General features: G+C 37.0%; 1 protein-coding gene across 21 annotated transcripts in view; it reads right to left on the reverse strand.

The window, feature by feature from the left end:
* DMD (dystrophin) overlaps positions 1-22,862 on the reverse strand; it is a 2,220,167-nt gene that overhangs the window by 182,717 nt on the left and 2,014,588 nt on the right. For all 21 annotated transcript variants that reach the window (XM_006724469.4, NM_000109.4, XM_011545467.2 and 18 more), the window contains 1 exon segment: positions 21,660-21,720. In XM_006724469.4, coding sequence (XP_006724532.1) covers positions 21,660-21,720 — 61 coding nt within the window.

Raw genomic sequence — 22,862 nt, forward strand, 5'->3', positions numbered from 1 at the left:
ACCCAGGCCAACTGTGTATTAATTCAAACATTAGAGAATGCCTCTGCCCGACACTCAACCACTACACTAACAAGCTTCCAATGAGGAAACAAAGTTACCAGAGGAATTTGAAGTCTCTGGTGGCCACAGCAGCAACAAAACTCAACAATGACAACCAAAGCAACTACCAACATCAAACACAGCCCAATTCCCAGTCAGATTAAGATAAATTACCATGTCAAAGGTTTATTTACCTCAGTATCTATTACGCTATCTAAGATGCCTGACTTTTACCCCTGAGATACAAAGCATGCCTAAGCAAGAAAAATCACAGTCTAAGGAGACAAAGCAAGAATCAGAACCAGACTTAGATATGTAACAGTTGTTGGAACTATCAGACAGGAAATTTAAAATAACCATAATTAATATTTTAAAGACTCTTGAGGGAAAAGAAAGACAATATGCAAGATTAGATAGAAAATATGTAAGATTAGAAGACAATATGCAAGATTAGATTTGATTCACTCTTATAGTTTCCAGCTCTATATTTCAGTATATTTCAGTATAGAGCTGGAAACTATAAGTGAATCAAATGGAAATGCTAGAAATTAAAAGCAGTAACAGAAAAGAAAAATACCTTAGATGGGCTCATCTGTAGATTCAACAAAGACAAGGAAAGAACCAGTGAACTTGAATATAGGGTAACAGAAATTATACAAACTGAAAAGCAGGGGGAAAAGTAAAAAAAAAAATGCAATTGCAATACAAACACAGTAGGTTTTCAGTATTAAGTAGGGCTCTAGGAAACAGCTATTTTTCAGATTAAGTAACAGTTTGGTGCAATTATGCTGATCAAGCATAAAGAACTATAAATTAAAGACTTCACTCAAAGAAGACCTCTGACAAGCAACCAAGTTGCTACAAAGTATTTAAAAAGCTAGTGACCAACCAGTTGTTTACAGTGATATATTTTGCAATATTTGATTTAGATTAAGAGTTCTAGGAAATACAAAAAGATCCACAGTACAAAAAAACAAATGTGTTCCTTCTAATGCTCAGAATTAACATTTTATCTTTGCTCAAAGCTTCTTTTGAAATAAAATACACCATTCAAGATGAAATTCCGATCCTCTCTGATGCCCCCTCTCCCATACTACAACTAGTATCATAACTTTGGTGTTTATCTTTCCAGGCTTTTCATTTTAATTTAATTTTTAAAAATTAGTCTTTTTTATTTTTAGTATTGCACCTGTACTTCAAAAAGCAAAACACTTTAAAAAGTGACCTTCCAGAATTTAGCATCAGAATCTCATTCACACTCATGGTTTCAGTTACTAGCTATATACAAGTAATATGTAAATTAGTGACTCCAACCCAGATGCGCCTCCTTCTTTCTTTAGGTGCACACTATCTGTCTATTTACAGTGCTTTTTGGATGTCACCAATCATTTGAAATCCAAACATTTACAATCAAATTGCCACCCTAAATCTGATCTTTCTTTAGAGTTCCCTAACTCACTGTAAAGAATTACCAACTGTGCATTGCCCAGAAATCTAGGTGTGATTCCTTGACATGTTTTGCTTTCTCTTTGCGCCCTTCCTCCTATGATATCTATCCTCAAATCTTAAGGATTTTTACCTCCTAAAAATCTCTCAAATCTATGCCTTTCTCACCATATCCAAACTATCATCATCTTGGTCCAAATCCCATCTTCTCTCACCTGGCTTTCATCAGTAACCTTCAAACGTTTGTATTCATAGGCTCCTCATCCAATTCATTTGCATCAGCCAGAGGACTTTTTGAGTTTTCTCCTCACCTCCTCCAGCCCTAGTCATGCTGTCCTTTTAATCCCTTGTATTGACAAGTTCCCTCCTGCTAAATTGCCTTGACACATGACTCTCTCTCTCTTTTTGTGTTAATATGTATTCATTCTTAGTGTCATTTCCATTATCTATTCCCTGGCTATACTTTGGAGGTATCATGCATGTTGCTCACCAAATGTACCCTTTACATCTAGCAATGTATCTGGTGCACATATTCTGATAAATAAACATCTATTGACAAATGAATCAATGAATGAATCAGTCAAGAGTATATCTTTAGATAAATGTTTTTCTTAGGTAAGGAGAATCAAACCATTTAAGTGCATTAGAATTAAAAAGCATTTTAGCATTTGTGAGAAATTCTGAAAGCAGTAACAAGTAGCAGTTTCTACTTTTACAAATATAACTGAGGTTAAACAAAATATACCCAGTAAAAAATAACTTCTTACTAACTTGGCTAATTATGGGTGAAATTGGTCATTTATGCTGTGACAATGATCAGAGACACCCTTGGAAACTATGCTTCTTTAAGGAATAATGATGCCATTTTATAGTTTTATGCTTTCATTTTAGCATTTGAGAACAGTTCACAAACACACTAATTAATCTCTGCAATGATATTGTACTCCTATATTACAGGCCAATTCAAGAAAGTAAATCACACAGATTTCAAAAGCATAGGAAAAATTTTTAGATGCCTAAGAATATACTCTTTACCTCCTGTACCTTGTTATATATGTCTTTATAGTCTTAGATAGATCTTTAATAAAGAATTGAAACAGAAACAGAGATCCTTATTTTAGCTCCTTTATGTAAATCATATGCATATTTATGACTTAGTTCCTTTATTTTGTGAGCATTTTATATATATATATATATAATATAAAATATAAAATTTACAATAGCTGGTACAATAGCCCCCAATAAATATAGTTTGCTTAATTAATGTAATGAATTCATTAATACATTTGCCTTTTGCAAAACAGAAACTAGCTCGATATTGTGAAGTCCCAGGGTTTCCTCCCTCATCCCAATATGATGGCATCCCACCCCATGACTCTAAGAAGGATGTATATATTGATGATTACAAAAGTTAAAGCTCTTGTCCTGACGTCTTCCCCTAGCTTCAGATCCAAATTTTGAACTGCACAGCTAGATACCCAATAAGTACCTCAAACTTAAACATGTCTAAACCCAGGCAGCTCTAGGGTTTCTACACGGAAGAGTAGCTATCTAGTTGACAAGCAATTTTTTTTTGTTTAGATTAAATGTTTTCCTGTTGTTGCTGGAAGCAAAGTATGGCTAATGGGCAGGTATTATTGGAGCACAGAAGCTCTTCAAGCCACCCTTTAAGACATCTCTTTAAAAAATTATTTATTTCATTTATTTGTAATTGACAAATAATAGTTTGTATATTTATGGGATACGATGTGATGTTTTGATCTTGGTATATATTGTAGAAAGAGTTGATCAAGCTAATTAACGTATCCATTACCTCACCAACATATCATTTATTTTTTGCGGTGAGAACATTAAAAATCTATTCTTTTAGCAATTTTGAAATATATGAGACATTATTATTAGCCATGGTTACCATGTACTGCAATGGAACACTAAAACTTGATTTTCCCTACCAAATTTGTTCCTCTTTAAGTACCTGTTCCTGCTGAAAGCCGAGGAGACACCTGGATTGCCCTCTTTCTGTCCCTCCTGACCTCCAATGCATCAGCAAGACCTGTGATTGTTTCTAAACCATATTCCCTGATTCCAACCACCTCTTGTGATCTCCACTGCTACCTTTATCTAGATCTTATCTAACACCAGTGCTTCCCACACTACTATCTGGTCTCCCTGCTTCCACTCTGGCTCTTCATATTTCCTCACCCCTAACTCACGTGTTCCACCAAATGCATTCTCCACACAGCAGCCAATTATGTCTTGCCAATCTAGTCTACTTTCAAACTGCATTATAACAAAGCACCAGCAAAAAACCAAACACCTCCAACAAACTTCACCTAGGCTTTGATAAAGGTCAAGGTTTGCATTTCAAAAATTTTCCTCTTTGGAGTTGCAGAAAAGAAATATTCAGGGCTGAATTTCAGCAACCTTCTTATTAGTATTTACAAACTAGTTATACTTGGCTAATTTGTAACACCATTGAAAGTGAGGTTTGGCAATAAGTGTACTTTACATTGTGAACATTAAAAACAAACAAGACATATTGTCTGGCAAAATATTTTTTGCTGTTGTTGTTGTTGTTTGAAATTGTATATATTTGAACTACCTTAAAAGATAATCAGAGGAAGTCCCAGGTAGCTGGACATTTAAAAGTTTGTCTTTTTTCTTTGAAAATAATACATGAAACTTGGAAATTGGGAAAACATATTTACTATAATATTCAAGTCAAAGAATGGAGAATTGCCCAATTAGGGTTTATATAAAATTAGTTTTCAAATTTAAAAAAAAATCCAGACTAAATTATATCTTTATAATGTATAACCCTTAAGAGTTGTTTATATATCTTCTGGTTGGTTCATAAGCGGAAGAGCTGCTGCACTGTTCAGTATCATTTCCCCATATTTCACTGAGAAATGAAGTTCAGAGAGTAATGAAATTATGTAAGGGCATACATATTATTTTATAACATCTATAGAATTTACATCTTTGGACTCTCATGCCTAAATTTAATTTCCTATTGGTTTATTATTTCATCTCCGCCTGACTTCTGTGTTTTATATCCCAAATTAAATTTCCCACAGATTTCCTTAGGTATATTATTACTCTATAAAATGGCAATAATCTGTTCACTATAGCCAACACTATTGCTTAATCATCTTTGTAATTATTTTATCATTTCTCTATTTTTTGTTTTGTAATACACATATTTAGGAAAGGACAAGTAAACCAAATTCCTAAATTGACAAAGTACTACGTATAAATTAAACAGAAGTTGGTACAGTCAAGCATGAATCTCTGAATAAAGCCACCAACTTTGAGAAGTGTTTCCAACAACCTCAAGTACTTTTTTTCTTCACTCCACTCTTTATAAAACTTGGTGATAAAGGTGTTCACGATGGAACTAAAAGTTATTTGGATTAAAATATTGCTGGTCTGGGATTCATGCTTCCCCAAGCAATATTGATTTGCTAGGGGATTTTTTTCTGTTCTTATTCAGTCTTTTTAATTTAAAATATTTTATATTTATGTTGCTTTTTTTCTGATGTTTTACTGAATTAATTCTATAGTTTCCAGGCCACGGCAACTACTGTAAGGGTATGGCCCATACTGTCAGATTATATTATTCAGTGTTCCTCTGCTCATCTCAGATCCTTCAGAGGCTGCTATTTTTACACGTTCTATTACACATCAGGACTTTTAGGTTTTAATTTTAAAGAAGTGTTCCACATTTGAGCCCTCTGATATACCCTGAGTTATAGTTACAGTTACAGTTACAGTCAGATAACTTCTCAGAAAAAATGACTTTGTAGTTTGAACATGTTTTCTCCATCCCTCCATGTTAATTTTTTCCAGTTCACAAGTGAAAACAAGATTAGTATGCTCTGAATCTACCAGTCAGTATGTTTCATCTTCCACCTCAACATTGAACTGCTTCCTTTCACCTTATACATCTTTTTAAACAATACATTCAAGGACTTGGAATATAATTGGCAATTTTGTTGATGATGAATGAGGCTGAGCAATATAATGATGCCTTTTGCTACTCTATAGTGCTTTCAGTAAAAAGAAATGGCTTGAGGACTAAGAGTATATGAAATATGAGTGAGAGAAAAAGCTCTAAGGTCCTTGATAATAAAGCACCTTTAAAACGATATCATGAGATGATGTTTCTCCCTACCAAAAAAACCCCAAAAAACTATGTGTGAAAAAAAAATCGGCTCTCTTGTATCAACATCGGGCATTCATGCAATTAAAATCTTTTGTATGTGTCTGGTAATGATATCTAATATTTAACAGAGAAAGGCAAAAACTGGTTGAGTATAACTGAATTCTAAACTTGAAGTCTTTTCTTCCCTACTGGATACCACTGCAGCTCTGCCTCAATGTATGTCTTAGGATTTACCACTTACCTTACTCCAACTTTTTTCAAGATCTATTAAGACAGTGGTCCCCAGCCTTTTTGGCACCAGGCATGAGTTTTCTGGAAGACAATTTTTCCACAGACTGGGAGGCAGGGGCGGGGGTATGGTTTCGAGATGAAACCGTTCCACCTCAGATCATCAGGCATTAGTTTCTCATAAAGAGGTCACAACCTAGATCCCTCGCATACATAGTTCACAATAGGGCTTGTGCACCTACGATAATCTAATGCCACGACTGATCTGACAGGAGGCAGAGCTCAGGCAGTAATGTTCACTTGCTCACCACTCACCTCCTGCTGTTCCAGTCCATGGTCCAGAGGTTAGGGATCCCTCTATTAAGACATAGGCTTACATGCATTCACTGAACAATGCTGGCTCCTGAAGAAAGCTTGGGAGTTTTGATAGAAGAGGATTTTAAGGTGTTTTCCTAAGATATTCTCACAACAGTTTTGGTAATAGGAGCTACTGAAGGAATATATTCACTTAAAGATGCTTTCTTCAAAACAGTAACTTTCAAAGATTTATAGTTTATAGCATAATCTAGCCAGGCAATCAACCCCATCAACACTCAACCCCATCTGCTCTCAACAAACTGAAATATACAAAATAAATGGACTGCTAAAAAATCGCTTCCAAATGTAATTTAATAAACTGTAACACCAGTGGGGCTATCTAGAATTTAAAAAAATAACATGGAACTTCTTTATCTGTTATTGTCTATTTTTTAAAAATTATTTATTTATTTATTTATTTCTAGATGGAGTCTTGCTATATTGCTCAGCCTGGTCTCAAACTCCTGGACTCAAGTGATCTTCCTGCTTCGGCTTCCCAAAGTGTTGGGACTGCAGGCATAAGCTGCTGTGCCGTGCCATCTATTTTTTTGTGTGTGATTTTTTTTTTCTTTGGAGATGGAGTCTCAACTCTGTCGCCCTGGCTGAAGTGCAATGGTGCGATCTCGGCTCACTGCAACCTCTGCCTCCAGGGTTCAAGTGATTCTCCTGCCTCAGCCTCCTGAGTAGTGGGGATTACAGGCATCTGCCACCACACCAGACTAATTTTTGTATTTTTAGTAGAGACGGGGTTCACCATCTTGGACAGGCTGGTCTTGAACTCCTGACCTCAGGTGATTTGCCCACCTCAGCCTCCCAAAGTGCTAGGATTACAGGTGTGAGCCACCACGCCTGGACTGCCATCTATTTTTCTTTAAATAAGCATACCTATTGGGATCATAGCTCAGCTTCCAGTGCTTAATCATCAAAATCAAAACAAATGATCAAGTATTTATTATTATTTTTACATGTGAGATATATAATACATGCTAGGGATGATGCAAAGATGCATAAGGCACAAGCGTTGTCAGAGAGTTTACAGCTGAACTGAGGAGACAAGGGATCTGAAAATTAACAAAATATTTCAAGAGTTAAACAAGAAAGAAAACTTGGGGTCTTAGCTGGGACGTTATAGAGGCTCTTGCTATTTCTAGGATCTGCTTAAAATAAGGTTAAAAATTAATTATTACTTATATAATTTTAAAGGTAGACATGTATAACTGTTATATCACTTCCTAGTCCTGACCCTGGCCTTTTCTTAGACTTGTGATTTCCTAAAACTTGGGACAAGATGTTAAGGAAAAATATGTAGGCCCGCTCATCCTCCTTTTTTTCCCCTCTTGCTCATGGCAAAGATAATTTTTAAACTAAAATAAACACAAATTGTGTAAGTATAACATTTGGATCTCACATCAGACTCACACAAATCTCAGATTCTTATCTAGTACCAATCTTTATTAATGACTGAAAGAATTATAGGGAAGTGCTGGGCACAGATAGAACATTATTTCCCTGGGGAACCTGAAATAATCACACATGCGTTTCCAAAACATCCATGTTATTTCCCATTATGATGTGCTTTGGTTTCATATTAACAGATACGTTTTTAAAAATTTACACAGAAACATTGAAAGGAAATCATTTCAGTCTCAAAAGTTTTCCATTTTATAATCTGTCAATTACAAAAATAGAAAAACGTTCATGTAGCTATGCCCTATTCTCCAGCCAGCCACGACTCATAAATCCAAACATTCCAGGTTTATTTACAATAAGCTATCTAGCCAGGCCAGGTATACCCTACTAAAATCATTTTATAGATAGGGATTTGCAGGTATCTTTCCTCTAGTTAACCACTATTAACAAGATAAACAAGAAGGTCTGGGAGGTCATTAACATGTTTATGAAGTGGTCTATTAAGGTCATTTATTCCCTTCACATCCCCCAGGGAATAAGTCACAGACCTGCTGTTAATACCCTTTATTCTCTTTAGTTTCCTCTTCGTTGTCCTCTCTCTCTCTCTCTCTCTCTCTCTCTCCATATATATATATATATATATGTGTGTGTGTCTGTGTATGTATGTATGTGTACATATAGATATATGAGTAAAATGTACACAAATTACTTTTAATTGGATGCATAAAGATATTTCCACCTTGAACTTTTGCTGTGCCTGCTCAGCCCCTCCTGCTCTATCTAGGATTCATTCTTTTCTATTATTTGATTTTTTTTTTTGGCAGAAAAGTTCTTGTAGTATTGATATAAGTAAGAGCGAGAAAAAACAATTAATCTAGCCTTTATTTGATAAAGCACTTGTATTTACATATTAACACAGGGTGCCTACATTTTTCGGATAGAGATTTTTCTTTTCTTTCTTCTTTTTTTTTTATTCCTAGAGACAGAGTCTTGCTGTGTTGCCCAAGCTGGAGTGCAGTGGCACAAACACGGTTCACTATAGCCTCAACTTTCGGCCCCCTGGGCTCAAGCAATCCTCCTGCCTCAGCATCCTGTGTGCCTGGGACCACAAGCACATGCCACCATGCCAAGGATTTTTTTTTTTTTTTTTTTGTAGAGACCAGGTATCATTTTGTTGCTCAGGCTGGCTTCGAACTCCTGGGCTTAAGTGTTCCTTCTGCTTTGACCCCCCAAAGTGCTGGGATTACACGCTTGAGACACTGTGCCCAGCTATATTCAGACAGAGATTTTTCTTAATCTTCAGAAAACATAAGCCATTATTTATCTTCAAAAACATATTAATTGCCCAGATTGCTTTTGTAATTTTGAGTCATTATGAGAAAAAGTATGAGAAATACTTCTTTTGCACCATGTAGTTATAATGATAAAAAATAAAGACTAAAGAATATCACTCTGCAATAATGAATATCATTCTGCAATAAGAATAAAGTATCATTCTGCAATAAGATGAAATGTTCTGCATGTAATACATGGGCAGACTCAGTATTCCCCCAGCTCAAGGCTTGGGAGAAATTGTGACTTATAGCCACAGACCATATATATTTGCCTAGTAAAGCTAGAACCATAGGCCTCTGGCTTAAGGGAAGGATGAGACGATCTGTTCTGGAATGGGGGGCGGGGGGTGGTGTCAAAATCAAGGACATGCACAAATGTTGCAAAGGCTCCTGCAGAGCACTTCTTGTCCATCTAAATTGACCACGCGCTACCTTTCAGAAAGACTTACAATTGAGGGTATGAAGAGAAACACATTCCATGACATTTATTAAGTATGGTCTTGGCCATACTCTCTATCTTAGGGAAGCCCTGATGGAGGTGGTGGAATATGACTTAGAAATCCTTTGCTTTTCTGCTCCATTGGTCTATATGTCTGTTTTGGTACCAGTACCATGCTGTTTTGGTTACTGTAGCCTTGTAGTATAGTTTGAATTCAGGTGGTGTGATGCCTCTAGCTTTGTTCTTTTTGCTTAGAATTGTCTTGGCTATACGGGGTCTTCTTTGATTCCACATGAAATTTAAAACAGTTTTTTTTTTAATTCTGTGAAGAAGGTCATGGTAGTTTGATGGGAATAGCATTGAATCTATAAATTACTTTGGGCAGTATAACCATTTTCACGATATTGATTCTTCCTATCCATGAAAGACCTCAGAAATAATACCACACATCTACAAACATCTGATCTTTGATAAACCTGACAAAAACAAGCAATGGGGAAAGGATCTCCTATTCAGTAAACGGTGCTGGGAAAACTCTCTAGCCATATGCAGAAAACAGAAACTGGACCCCTCCCTTACAGCTTACACAAAAATTAACTCAAGATGGATTAAAGACTTAAATGTAAAACCCCAAATCCTAAAAACCCTAGAAGGAAACCTAGGCAATACCATTTAAGACATAGGCATGGGCAAAGACTTCATGACAAAAACGCCAAAAGCAACTGCAACAAAAGACAAAATTGAGAAATGGAATCTAATTAAACTAAAGAGCTTCTGCACAGCAAAAGAAACTATCATCAAAGTGAATAGGCAACCTACAGAATGGGAAAACATTTTTTCAATCTACCCATCTGACAAAGGTCTAATATCCAGAATTTACAAGGAACTTAAACATATTCACAAGAAAAAGACAAACAACCCTATCAAAAAGTGGGCAAAGGATATGAACAGACACTTCTCAAAAGAAGACATTTACATGGCCAACAAACATATGAAAAAAAGCTCAACATCACTGATCATCAGAGAAATGCAAATGAAAACCACAATGAGATACCATCTCACACCAGTCAGAATGGTGATTATTAAAAAGTCAGGAAACAACAGATGCTGGCTAGGCTGTGGAGAAATGGGAACGCTTTTGAACTGTTGATGGGAATGTAAATTAGTTCAACCATTGTGGAAAACAGTATGGCAATTCCTCAAGGATCTAGAACCAGAAATACCATTTGGCCCAGCCATCCCATTACTGGGTATACACCCAAAGGAATATAAATCATTCTACTATAAAGACACATGCATATGTATGTTTATTGCAGCACTATTTACAATAGCAAAGACATGGAACCAACCCAAATGCCCATCAATGATAGACTGGATAAAGAAAATGTGGTACATATAAACCATGGAATACTACGCAGCCATAAAAAGGAATGAGATCACGTCCTTTGCAGGGACATGAAACTGGAAGCCATCATCCTCAGCAAACTAACACAGGAACAGAAAACCAAACGCTGCATGTTCTCACTCACAAGTGAGAGTTGAACATTAAGAACACATGGACACAGAGAGGGAAACAATGCACACCAGGGCCTGTTGGGGTTTGGGGGTTGAAGGGAGGGAACTTAGACGATGGGTCATTAGGTGCAGCAGACCACCATGGCATACATATACCTATGTAACAAACCTGCACGTTCTGCACATGTATCTCGGTTTTTTGGTGTGTTTTTTTTTTTTAGAAGAAAAAAAGAAAAAAGAAGGGGGGAGATCTCATTTTAATTGATTTAGACCAGAATCAAACATTTTAAAAATTAAAAAAAAAAAAAAGAAATACTTTGTTTTCTCAGCCTGCAGGGAGGTAGAAGAGTGCTTACATCAGGGCTGGCCAAGTTTTTGTTTCATTTTGTTTTTTGTTCCCCTTTATTGCCCAAAGCAGCAAAGAGTAACTTAGGTCTCTGCAACTTGATTGCGAAGATACGCCAAGGAAAATCCACCTAACAGTGCAGGGAAGGACTACTAGAGTAGTTTTGGTGATGCCCAAGATGGCAGCCTCACAGTGGTGGATTGGCCACATTTGGTTATACAAATGGCCAGTTTTCAATCAAAAACATTAGAAAGTTGAAACAGCTAGAAGCAATAGCTGAGATGATGATGATTATTTTATTTGATTTATTTATTTTTATTCGTATAAATTTCTGAGGTACAAGTGCAGTTTTGTTACAGGGATGTATTGCATAGTGGTGAACCTGGGCTTTTAGTGTATCCATCACCAAAGTAGTGCACCTTGTACCCATTAAGTAATGTCTCATTATCCACCCCTCACCCAGCATTCTGCCCTTCTGAATCTCCAATGTCTATCCTTCTTATCATGATGATTTTAAGTATCAATTCTCCCCCCTCCCCTTTATTAGAATGACTTGGATAAGCCTCCAACTTTTTTGAATCTCAGCTGTTTCTTCCTTTTTTTTTTTTTTAACTTTTATTTATTTATTTATTTTGAGATGGGGTCTCACTCTGTCACCCAGGCTGGAGTGCAGTGGTGTGATCTCGGCTCACTGCAACCTCCGCCTCCCTGGTTCAAGGGATTCCCCTGCCCCAGCCTCCTGAGTAGCTGGGACCACAGGTGCATGCCACTACATTCAGCTACTGTTTTGTATCTTTGGTAGAGATGGGGTTTCGCCATGTTGCCCAGGCTGGTCTTGAACTGCTGAGCTCAAGTGATCCACCCACCTTGGCCTGCCAAAGTGCTGGGATTACAGGCATGAGCCACCACGCCCGACTGATAGCCGTTTTTTTCTTTATTGGATAATAAGTGGAGTGTTACAAGGATTAAATGGGAAGATACAGATGAAACACTTTGTCATTTAGCACATAGTAGGCACACATTAAACTTTGCTTTTCTTCCTGTCTAGCAGATTACATGGACTTATCTATGAGACACACTGTTTACAGAAAACTCATGAACAAGAAATAGTGACCAAAAGGAAAGAAAACAACAAAACGATTCCTTCTAAAGCAACAAAGAAGCAAGTTAAAAATTACACATTGCACTGACCATCTGACATGCAATGGCTTTGGGGACCAAGATGGATGTGGATAAGCTGAGAAAGAAAAACAGAAAAAAGCAGTTGAGAGTTTCAGGAAGAGCAGCGAGGCTTTTCAGTTTCATCCCCCCAGGAGTTAATGGTATCACAGAAAACGTGATCATTTGCCGAATGCCGACAGTGAGCTAAGTCTCATCTAGGACCTGCTCTTAGAAGCTTTCCAGAGTCAATATCCAGAGATACTGTTTTTCTATCTTGTACAACGGTTTAAAAAATTTGCAACGTGACAGCACTGATTTATACAATGCACTCACAGTCTATTTCTTTAAAAAAGAATACATACACAGAGAGAGAGAGAGAGAGAGAGAGAGAGAGAGAGAGAGTGTTTTACCGTGTTAACATTTTTCCTGAAGAAAGTATTTAATACCCTCTCCCTACCCCCTACTCCCCCACCCTATCCCCTGGAAGGAAGGAGGGGAAGACTGAATGGGATTTGGAGTTTTCCCACTGAGAAAGGGGCATTTTCTGCAACCAGGTCAGTGTTCAAAGGACTAATGCTCTAAGGAAATTATCCCAAAGAAGAGAGAGGCAGTTCAGGGTTATTAAGTTATTTTAAAACATTGCCTGGGCTGTTGCTGCTGACCTTTGTGAAGGGAACAGGATGCTGCTTCCCAGGGGAACAGAATAAGAAGCAATTAGAGAAGCCTAGGAGAGGCCCGGGAATGTTTGGGAATTCACACATACCCCAAATTACGTGGGAACGCTAAGAATGAAAATAAACTAACTTTGATTAGGGACATATTTGGGTTCTAGAAAATATTCTAAAAATGCAGCTCACACTGGGGCTATATCTCTATGAGTGTTTTCCTAAAAACCTGAACACTCAGTATCTAATAGAGGTCAATAAGACTTCAATCCAGTTTCAGAGGAGAAAAGGAAAGCCAATTAACATTTCTTAAGCAATATTCCTTATGTGTCATAAAGTAGAATGGGTGTCACGTTAAGCAAATGGCTCAAACGAACAGAGTTGGGATATGATACAGTTGTTTCAAATGCAGATTTATTTGATGTGACTACTGGTTTTTTTCTAACACGTGATTATGTAAGAAAGTGCATGTTTAAGAAAGTTAGAAAAAGAAAATGGGGAAATAGCTGAAATAATTTACTCCTCTTCTTTTGGATAAACCAACTTGAATATGTTCTATGCTCATTCTCACATTTCCAAAAGTGCCACGAATGAGGCAGGGAATGCTATACCATGTGTATTATAATACAGGATTATTTTCCCCATACACACATTAAATTTTAGCTGCCACATGTATAGGTGTATGTATATATGTTGCCACCTTTCCACATGACATATGCCATATAGAATGTTACAACATTTTTCTGTAAAATAAAAATGTATCATTGATGACATTCTGTTAAGACTCAGTGGCTACTATATCCTGGCCCAAAAAGTAGGTCCTGTCCACAATGCTCAGTGAAAAACAGTAGTTGATCAATTTAAAGCTCTATTGACCACTAGAAAACCAGAAGAAGCCTCATGAATGATATTTAGGAAAAACAGACTCTAGTTCTACTGAAACAAAGCTAGAGCTGAGAGTGGTCCCAGGCATTATCTAGTTCAACCTTCTCATTGAGGTTGAGCTAAGTTATACTCCTTATCATATTGTTAGATTAAGATAGAACGGAATCTAGAACTCATGTTTTGGTATGTACCATTCATACATCCATGCCAAGGACTGTCCCTTAAGCACCAAACTGTAGGAGCTATGAGAAACTCTATCAAACACTCGGCATGCTTCCTAACACTAAAGTTCATGTCTAGAGGGCATGAGAGATGGATTTGAGTGGTAAATCTAAATTGACACACAAATACTACAAGATTGTTTTGAAGGTGAAATGAGTCAGCAAACTGAAAAGCACATAGAATTACTGACATATGTTCATGAATTCATTCCAATATTTACCAAGTACCTGTTATCTGTGAGGCACTATGCTAGAAAAAGAGATAACAACAGCTATCCTCCTGGAGTCTGTTATTTCAGTCAAGGTGATACAAATCAGCTTATGAAACTACAAAAAAGGATGTGAGGGTTTTTTTCATGAACCTATGAGACACAGATGATATCAACATCTACATCTCCCAACAAGATCTATAAAACCAAAACCAGACTCAGCACTCTGCACAACACTATGGCACCCCTTTCACTCTCTTTCAGTTAATATCTTAACCTGAATTGTTTTCATGATTATATCATCAATAATGTATTACCAACTATTCCTTCATTGTGGTTCCAGAGCTTACTGAGACTCAGGTAACGTGACCTTTGAAACCATCAAATGGCAGAGGAGAAAACACAGCAGAGAAGATTGACCTCTGGGTTATCTTTGTGTACTAAAGCCTTTTGAAAAGTCAGAGCATCAGGCTTTTGGCAGTGATTTCAAAAATTTAATTACCCCGAATCATTCACCAGCATCCTCAAAGACTGACAGATCAAATTAGACAGCTGATTCTCTGTTGCATCCACTTCTTATCATCAATAGTGCTAAATAGTTAAGTGAAACATTTAATATTATTTGTCCTTTCTATCCCGATAAGATTGATGGTGCAATAAGAATCCTCAAGGGCAATATGAAGATTCATTTTCACTTCTCTGGAAAATGATCACAAACAATTTCTATTTCGAAGTCAACATTCACAAAATCAGAAAATGTTAGTACTGGAAATGACCTATGATATCATGTCATTCTGCTTCCTTAAATGACAGAGGGAGAAACTGAGGCCCACAGAAAATAAGCAATTTCCCATTGGTCAAGTATTAATAGCTAGGTGACAGTAAAGCTGGAACTAGAATTCAAGTCTTGCGATGCCTAGCCTATTTAAAATTTCCCCTATTTAATGTTGTCTTAGCTGCTAAAAGGTATATTTTGAAGAAAAATATACATAAGAAGGATCTTACCAGAAATAGCACAAAATTATATACTACATGATGTGTTCACATTGTATGAAAGATTATGACAAAATTCAACTGATTTTCAAACCCAATGTCAGAAGACTTGTATCATTCTTAGAAGAGTGAGGTGTCTGGAATAAGAAATGAGGAAATTTTTTTTTTTTTTTTTTTTTGAGGCAGAGTCTTGCTCTGTCACCCAGGCTGGAGTGCAGTGGCGCGATCTCGTCCACTGCATGCTCCGCTTCCCGGGTTTACGCCATTCTCCTGCCTCAGCCTCCCAAGTAGCTGGGACTACAGGCGCCCGCCACCACGCCCAGCTAATTTTTTGTATTTTTAGTAGAGACGGGGTTTCACCATGTTAGCCAGGATGGTCTCCATCTCCTGACCTCGTGATCTGCCTGCCTCAGCCTCCCAAAGTGCTGGGATTACAGGCGTGAGCCACCGCACCCGGCCTGAGGAAATGTTTTCTATGTTGATATCATACTCCAGTTTCTTTATAATAAGAGCCCATCTCATTGTCAGAAGACGTGTCTACTGCAAACCAGCCAACACAGGGATATTTAACACGTTGATTGCTGTTAAGGCTAAGATGTAGTTAGGCACTGCTCCCTCTGTATATAAATACAGGTACTGAAATAGCAATCAATATTATGAAGGAAGAAATCAACCAACCAAAACTTGAATTGGAGCAATGCCTGGTACCAACAGGGGCTAGAACAAGAATGAGAGCAAGATATGCTTTAAGCATGGGACATATTTGGAATCCGAAAAAATTGCCATGAAAGTAGTAATAGAGGCAATACAGTAGGGGGCAGGGGAAGGTGGTGTCAAGATTCAGATGCTACTGGAGTTAGGGGAACACTGGTACTAAAAACCAGACCAAGATCCGTGAGTTCAAACCAGAATGTAGACCAACAGGATACAGAGAGCCACATATACCAAAAGGTAAATCTAGACAGATGGCCACAGTTCCAGGCAGAGAGTCAAATACTCGTACAAATAGAGCTATAGGAATGGTAGGCCATAAGAAGACAGGACAGTCAGAACCCAAATCAGCAATTTTGTCAGCACAAACAGCAACAGTAACAAGAAATGTTGACTGAAGCAACTGTTAACTTCATCCAATAAGGTTTTATATCGCATTTTGCTAAGCAGGAAGCAGCAGAAAGTTGTGAGCAAAACTCAGATGCAATAAATGGTTGTGGAAACATGCCTGAGATTGAGAGTGAAGAGAAGGGTCGATCAAGGTCATCAGGCAACATATACAGCAATGTATATACAACATTCAAAATTACCAGCAGGAAAAGATAAACACTCCTTTGGACATGAGTTGCTTCTTGAGCATTGCATGTAAAAAAAGCTGAGCAGTTAGCAAGTTCCCAAGAACCCCATCTTTCACTCTTCTGTGAAGGGCTTCAGAGATATTTCGAAAGGGAACCTGATGAAATGCATTACTGCTGATGGAGTCAGCAGGTTTACTCCTGAGTTTCATTAGTGAATTCTTCCCAATATTTAGCAACCACAGCGTCTTTGAAGGAGGAAAGGACCAGCTTGTCTAAAAATCAAATCCTTCCTAAGGGACAGCTGGCAGAAATATAAGGTCAAACACTTTTGCTGGTATTACAGAAAAGTAGCAGAAAACCAACCTTCGGCTAGAACTAATATATGCAGAAGAGGTTATGACCTCAATTGATCTCTCCATTTCTGCACCAATGGGAGACAGCAAATAACATTTACTTTCTTCATGAGTGAGTGGAAACTAGAGACAATGCTAACAAATTTCATAACCAATATTTGGGCCACCCTAGTCACGACATCCCAAAGAAGATATAACAGAGCTGGAAAAGATCCAGGGAAAAACAACTAAGATAATCAAGGGGAAAGCTTATCTTTCCGTCAAGGACAGACTAAAAGACTAAAAAGGATTAGAATTTCTCAGACTGGGAAGATGAAAATGAAAAGCATTAGTAGGGGAATGTGAGGCTAAAGTCGACTCTGGATAAATATAAATGTTTTTACTGAATTTCAAAGAATTTAATTAAGGCCATTCCTTGAGGTTAAAGGATGCAGATTCAAGAGAAATTAAAATGCCTATATTTATATAGAAGTCGGTACATTTATGGAACATATTATTATTAAGACAAAGCTGAAGTGGGGAATAGGAAAAGTTTGACACCATTGGATAAACTCACTGCCAGTTGATTTACAATGCATTATTAAGAAGTGGTCATGATGTATCCGAATTTTTAAGGTAAAATGTACTAGGTTACCTGACAAAACAACCATTGGTATCTTCATCTGGGACAGAGTTCCGGGCTAGTTGCCCTGTTGGTCTGACCCAGTGTGATATTTCTTATGCTTTTATTATGACATCTATACTGGAACATCCTGCATGCATGTTTGGGATTCCTAAATTCTTTTGACAGTCCAGAATACAGAAGAACAATTTTCTAACTCATTAAGAAAGCAAGAGAGTCCCAGCTCTTGGCTCTGTTTGGTTTACCCATATGGGAGCATGCAACATAAAAAGGTGAAAGAAATCCTAACAGAATGCAGCAGCTGGTTAAAGGCTATTATATTGAAATTTTCATGAGTTTGACAGTAGGCCAAAAAACTACAAAATGGCAGAGAGTAGAAAAGGCAGTTGTAACAGGTTGAACATTGTTGGTGATTATTTTTTCAGTGGCAATGAAAGCTGTAATCAAATAACCTGAAAGAGATGCTGGCAGGAATAAGGGAGCCCCAAGGGAGAGGGAATATGAAAACTGTAACAATGATGTATGCTGTGGACAAATAAACTAGACAAACACGTAGTTTGAAGTATCAAAATCAAGGTTCTTAGCCTCATATGAAAAGCTGATGTCAGGATGCAGGCATAAACACTGCCTGATTTGCAAACTAGAGCAAAAGATGTTAATGACTTAAAATCTCAAGAATGAGTGCACAATTCAACAACCAACAGGAACTGTGCCACTGGTATAGAAACCTCTTGTTATGTGGGCGATCCCTTTATCCCAGCATTGAAAAGAAAAAGTTACAAAGCATTAAAAACATAGCCAGAGAAGACACCTGGTTTTGCAGCTGGGCATCTGTGGTAAAAACTCTTGACTGGAAGTCAAGACAAACAAGATAAAAAAGAGGAAAAATGAGGACTGGTTGAAGCACTGTCACTGTAAACGTATTTTTGTTCTTTTTAGACCAAGACGGCATCTCAGATTATGAACGGCATTAAGCTGTGCATAAAGTCCACCGAACCTTGTACATCAAATTAATTTGGTTTCCATAGAACATTTTAGATAATAGTAATGGCTAATAAGACACAAGTGCCATTAATCATCTGCTTACTGACAATGTTCATTTTATAAACATGTATGTTTTCCCTATATTACAGTTTAACATTTTACACTCATATTTGAGAAATTATACCATCCCTAATTTCAAAGAGATTATAATTGTAGAGAGAATTGCTCTCCATAAGGTTTCAGAGATATTTTTGAGAAATTACGTAATTTCCTCATTTCAAGGAACTGATTATTTCAGAGGCTTTTAAGGTCTCCATACTCACCTTTTGGCAAATTTTCCTGCCTATTGTTCTCTCTCTCTTATCATGAGCCAGGAAGCATAATAATCCTAAATTATATACCAAGATTTGAGCTCTTTAAAGAGGTGTGTGGTGAAATTGGAGTGGGTTGATAGGGCATATCTAAAGCTAATTAAACAGTGGAAAAATAAAATTCCTGTTTTTTAAAGTAAGAATTTACATTATGTTCATTAAAATAATGAATTTTAAAAATAAAGATATTATCGAACAAAAGCTGAGATCTTCGGTTTTTAAGTTTGGACAGGACAACTGAATGAGTCATGCTCATTACGTCTTAGAGCTAAAAAGGATCTTAGATATCATCTAGTCCAACTCTTTATTTTATAAATTAGAAACCAAGGTTTGGCTGGGCATGGTGGCTCAAGCCTGTAATCCCAGCACTTTGGGAGGCCGAGGCGGGTGGATCACCTGAGGTCAGGAGTTCGAGACGAGCCTGACCAATATGGTGAAACCTCGTCTCTACTAAAAATACAAAAATTAGCCAAGCATGGTGGCAGGTGCCTGTAGTCTCAGCTACTCGGGAGCTAAGACGAAAGAATTGCTTGAACCCGGGAGGCAGGGGTTGCAGTGAGCCGAGATCGGGCCACTGCACTCCAGCCTGGGCAACAGAGTGAAACTCCATCTCAAAAAAAAAAAAAAAAAAAAAAAAAAAGAAAGAAACCAAGATTTTTATAGGTTAAGTGACTTGCCTAAAGCCATACAGTCGCCTAATGACAGAGCCTCTAAGACTAGACTGGAGGACTAAAATTGAAGTTTTCTTATTCATAGATCTGTGCCCTTATCAATACCATCACCATGGTCTTTAGGTACATGAAGGAGCATTGGACAAATAGGATATGTAGCTGCTCTCTAATTCCACTGAGAAACAGCAAGAGACTAATACACAGAAGGGAATTACAGCTTTTCTGGAATTTGTCTCTTTATTATTTTTTGGACGGAGTTCATTTCCATTCCCTCACAGCAATGTACTGGGATCTCTTGTAGTAGAAGTAACATCAGGGAGAAGATGAATATATAGGGAAAGGACAATGGGACCGGGGAGACCCTAGCAATCCATGTGAGACCTCTAGTGAGCCCCAAACAAGTAGTCATTTGGAGAATAATAGCTTAAAGGTGTCTTGAATTCTCCAGTGATCCTAAAACCTCATCTATGAAAGGAGAAAAAGAGTCTTTATTTCAGCTCATAAAGGAATTGGATAAAAGTGAGAGCTTTATGAATTGGTTGAAGAAGTAGCAGGTCTCAAACATCTTAGTCGGAAATAAAAATTTGTGAGGACAAAGACACTGATGTAGGAAATCACTGTCTAGAGTTTGAAGAAAATTGTTCCATAAAATATACAGTGGATGTAAGGTAATATACAGTGCATGTCTACAGCAATATATTATTTAATAAAGCATGTGATTTAAATAGGTATTTAAAATGTACAGTTTTGAGTGACTAATGAATTAAATATAACAATAATAAAATTAAATTCATAAAATATGAAAACTAAAAAGCAGAATCAAACATACTAAAAAAGAATTTTCAAGTTAAGAGATACCTCATCTGGAAAAATGTAATAAGACAAATGGTAAACCGTTTCCTAAAGTATGTATTTCTCCTGAAAGAGTCAAAAGACTACCTTCACTCCCATTTTTCTGAGTTAACAAAATAGAGGCATAAAATCAAATTTCTTGAGGACTGTAGTAATGAAGATCTAGGACTGCTGTTATTGCTTTAGAACCGAATTAAGAAGAATTGATGGACAGTGAAAGAATAAAAACAGATTCGATAAAAGATGGCAGGCGGAAAAAAATGGGAAAACATCTAATATTTTTAGTCAGACTCATGGCAGAAGCAAGTTCAAAGACTTCGGTTGGTATCGAGGACTATTTTATGAACCCAGTAAATTGTAATTGTTGTTGAGGTTTCCAATTCAAAGTTAAATTTAAGTTAGACTCTAGTGCACAATGGATGAGAGACTGTGAAGGTATCGTAATCACTCAATATCCTCTCTCCTCTCTCTTCCACGTTGACCCAATGTATTGTCATTTATATTTCATGCAAAATACTACAGAAGGTGCTTCCAAGCACTCGTATTCTTTTGACTGGCACAAATGTTTCCAGAAAACAGTATCTTTCTGTTGTTAGGTGACAAATACTGAGTGTTATGTATCAAGAATGAACAACTAAGCCCTACGAGTCGAGGACTGCTGCTTTCTGCCTTTTGGAAACATGTAGTATTCATTCACCCAAAACAGTTGTGTACATATAACTGCGGAAATCTTCTATCTTTGACGGAAGAAGAAATGTGAGAAAACCCCTAAATAAAAGAAATTGTTCTCGCAAAGATTGACTCCCACTATCAATAAAATTATCTGGAGCTTTTGGTTCTATTGTGAAAAATCCGCCCCCTCTGTCACAAAACACACCATATATCCTGCATTAAATAAACTTTTCTTAAAAGTCGTTCCCCATTGCATCAGCAAATTTACAATGGTAATTTTAGAATAAGTTTTTTATCCAAGCTTCCTCAGGAAAAAAAAGACACAGGTATTGTAGGCCAGGCTAATGTCGCATTTTAAAAATAAACTCACTTGTGAATATACAGGTTAGTCACAATAAATGCTCTTTTAAAAATGTGATACTTCCAACTTACTTGATATAGTAGGGCACTTTGTTTGGCGAGATGGCTCTCTCCCAGGGACCCTGGACAGACGCTGAAAAGAAGGGAGGAAAAAAAGAAAGGCAAGGAGGTCAAATTCATCGCAAACAGGAAAGACAACATTAATCTCCAGAATTACAATTTTACACTGATATTGGTCTGTTTGCTCAGCTGCCCATGAAGACAGGATGGATTAACCTGCTGTTCTGAAATTTCTGTCCTAATCTAAGCGAAACTGAACTCATTCAGGCACAAAGATAAATGCGAAGAAAAAAAAAACCCACAAACATTTCCACTGCTAAACCTATAGAACAGATAAGAAACTGAATGAGTAGACTGACGGGGTTTCTTGTATGTGTCTCCCTTGAGTGCTTTTTTTTATAATACTTCCTGTTGCTGGTTCTCAATATTTTTTACTATTTGACTGACTGGATTTTATTATTTCAGTAGCTGAAATATCCCTCTGTGATATATTTACATTCTAAGTTATTGAAGCTAAAGTAATATGCTTATCACTCTGATATGGTTGTTTTTATCTTTATTGGTTTAAAGAGAATCCAAATTCACTTACCAAATAGATGCTTAATTTGGTGCCTCAAAATGTCAGCTGACCAGTGTGATCTTATTAGAAAAGGTGACCAAAAGTGAGGGAATGTCTACTGATATCAGAGCGTAATAAGACTTTTGTTATGAGTGATGAATCCTATACGTGAAATTTCATTTCACATACTAGGAATTTGTTTTATTATGACTTCACTGTGTATTGGTCAAATGAATGATCTTTGCATTGTTTTTTTTTTTTTCAGGCTTAAGTTGTAGGATTTCTTCCCTAAAGCTGAACCTCTACAAATATATTTTATATACTGTTTGATCTGATGGTTTTTTTTCTTTCTTTAAGACAAAATAATCTTGTTGAGGAGGCACTATAACATTTCCTCAACAATATAATCTTCCTCCTGAATATAGTTTTAAGACACTGGAGCTTTAAGAAACACAGAATATTATCAGAAACAGAAATAAAAGACGCATTCTTATTAATATCTAGCAACTTTATGTGTCTATACTTTTTCCCCTGAATTTTCATTCTGCTAATAATTTGAAGCACAGCTGATGCTGACCATTATTTCCTCCTATGAAAAACTCCCTTTTAAATTAGTCTCACAGTAAATTCACTCCGCAGTGTATTGAGATGTAAGA

The sequence above is a fragment of the Homo sapiens genome, chromosome X (genome assembly GCF_000001405.40).
Source record: "Homo sapiens chromosome X, GRCh38.p14 Primary Assembly".
NCBI lineage: Eukaryota > Metazoa > Chordata > Mammalia > Primates > Hominidae > Homo > Homo sapiens.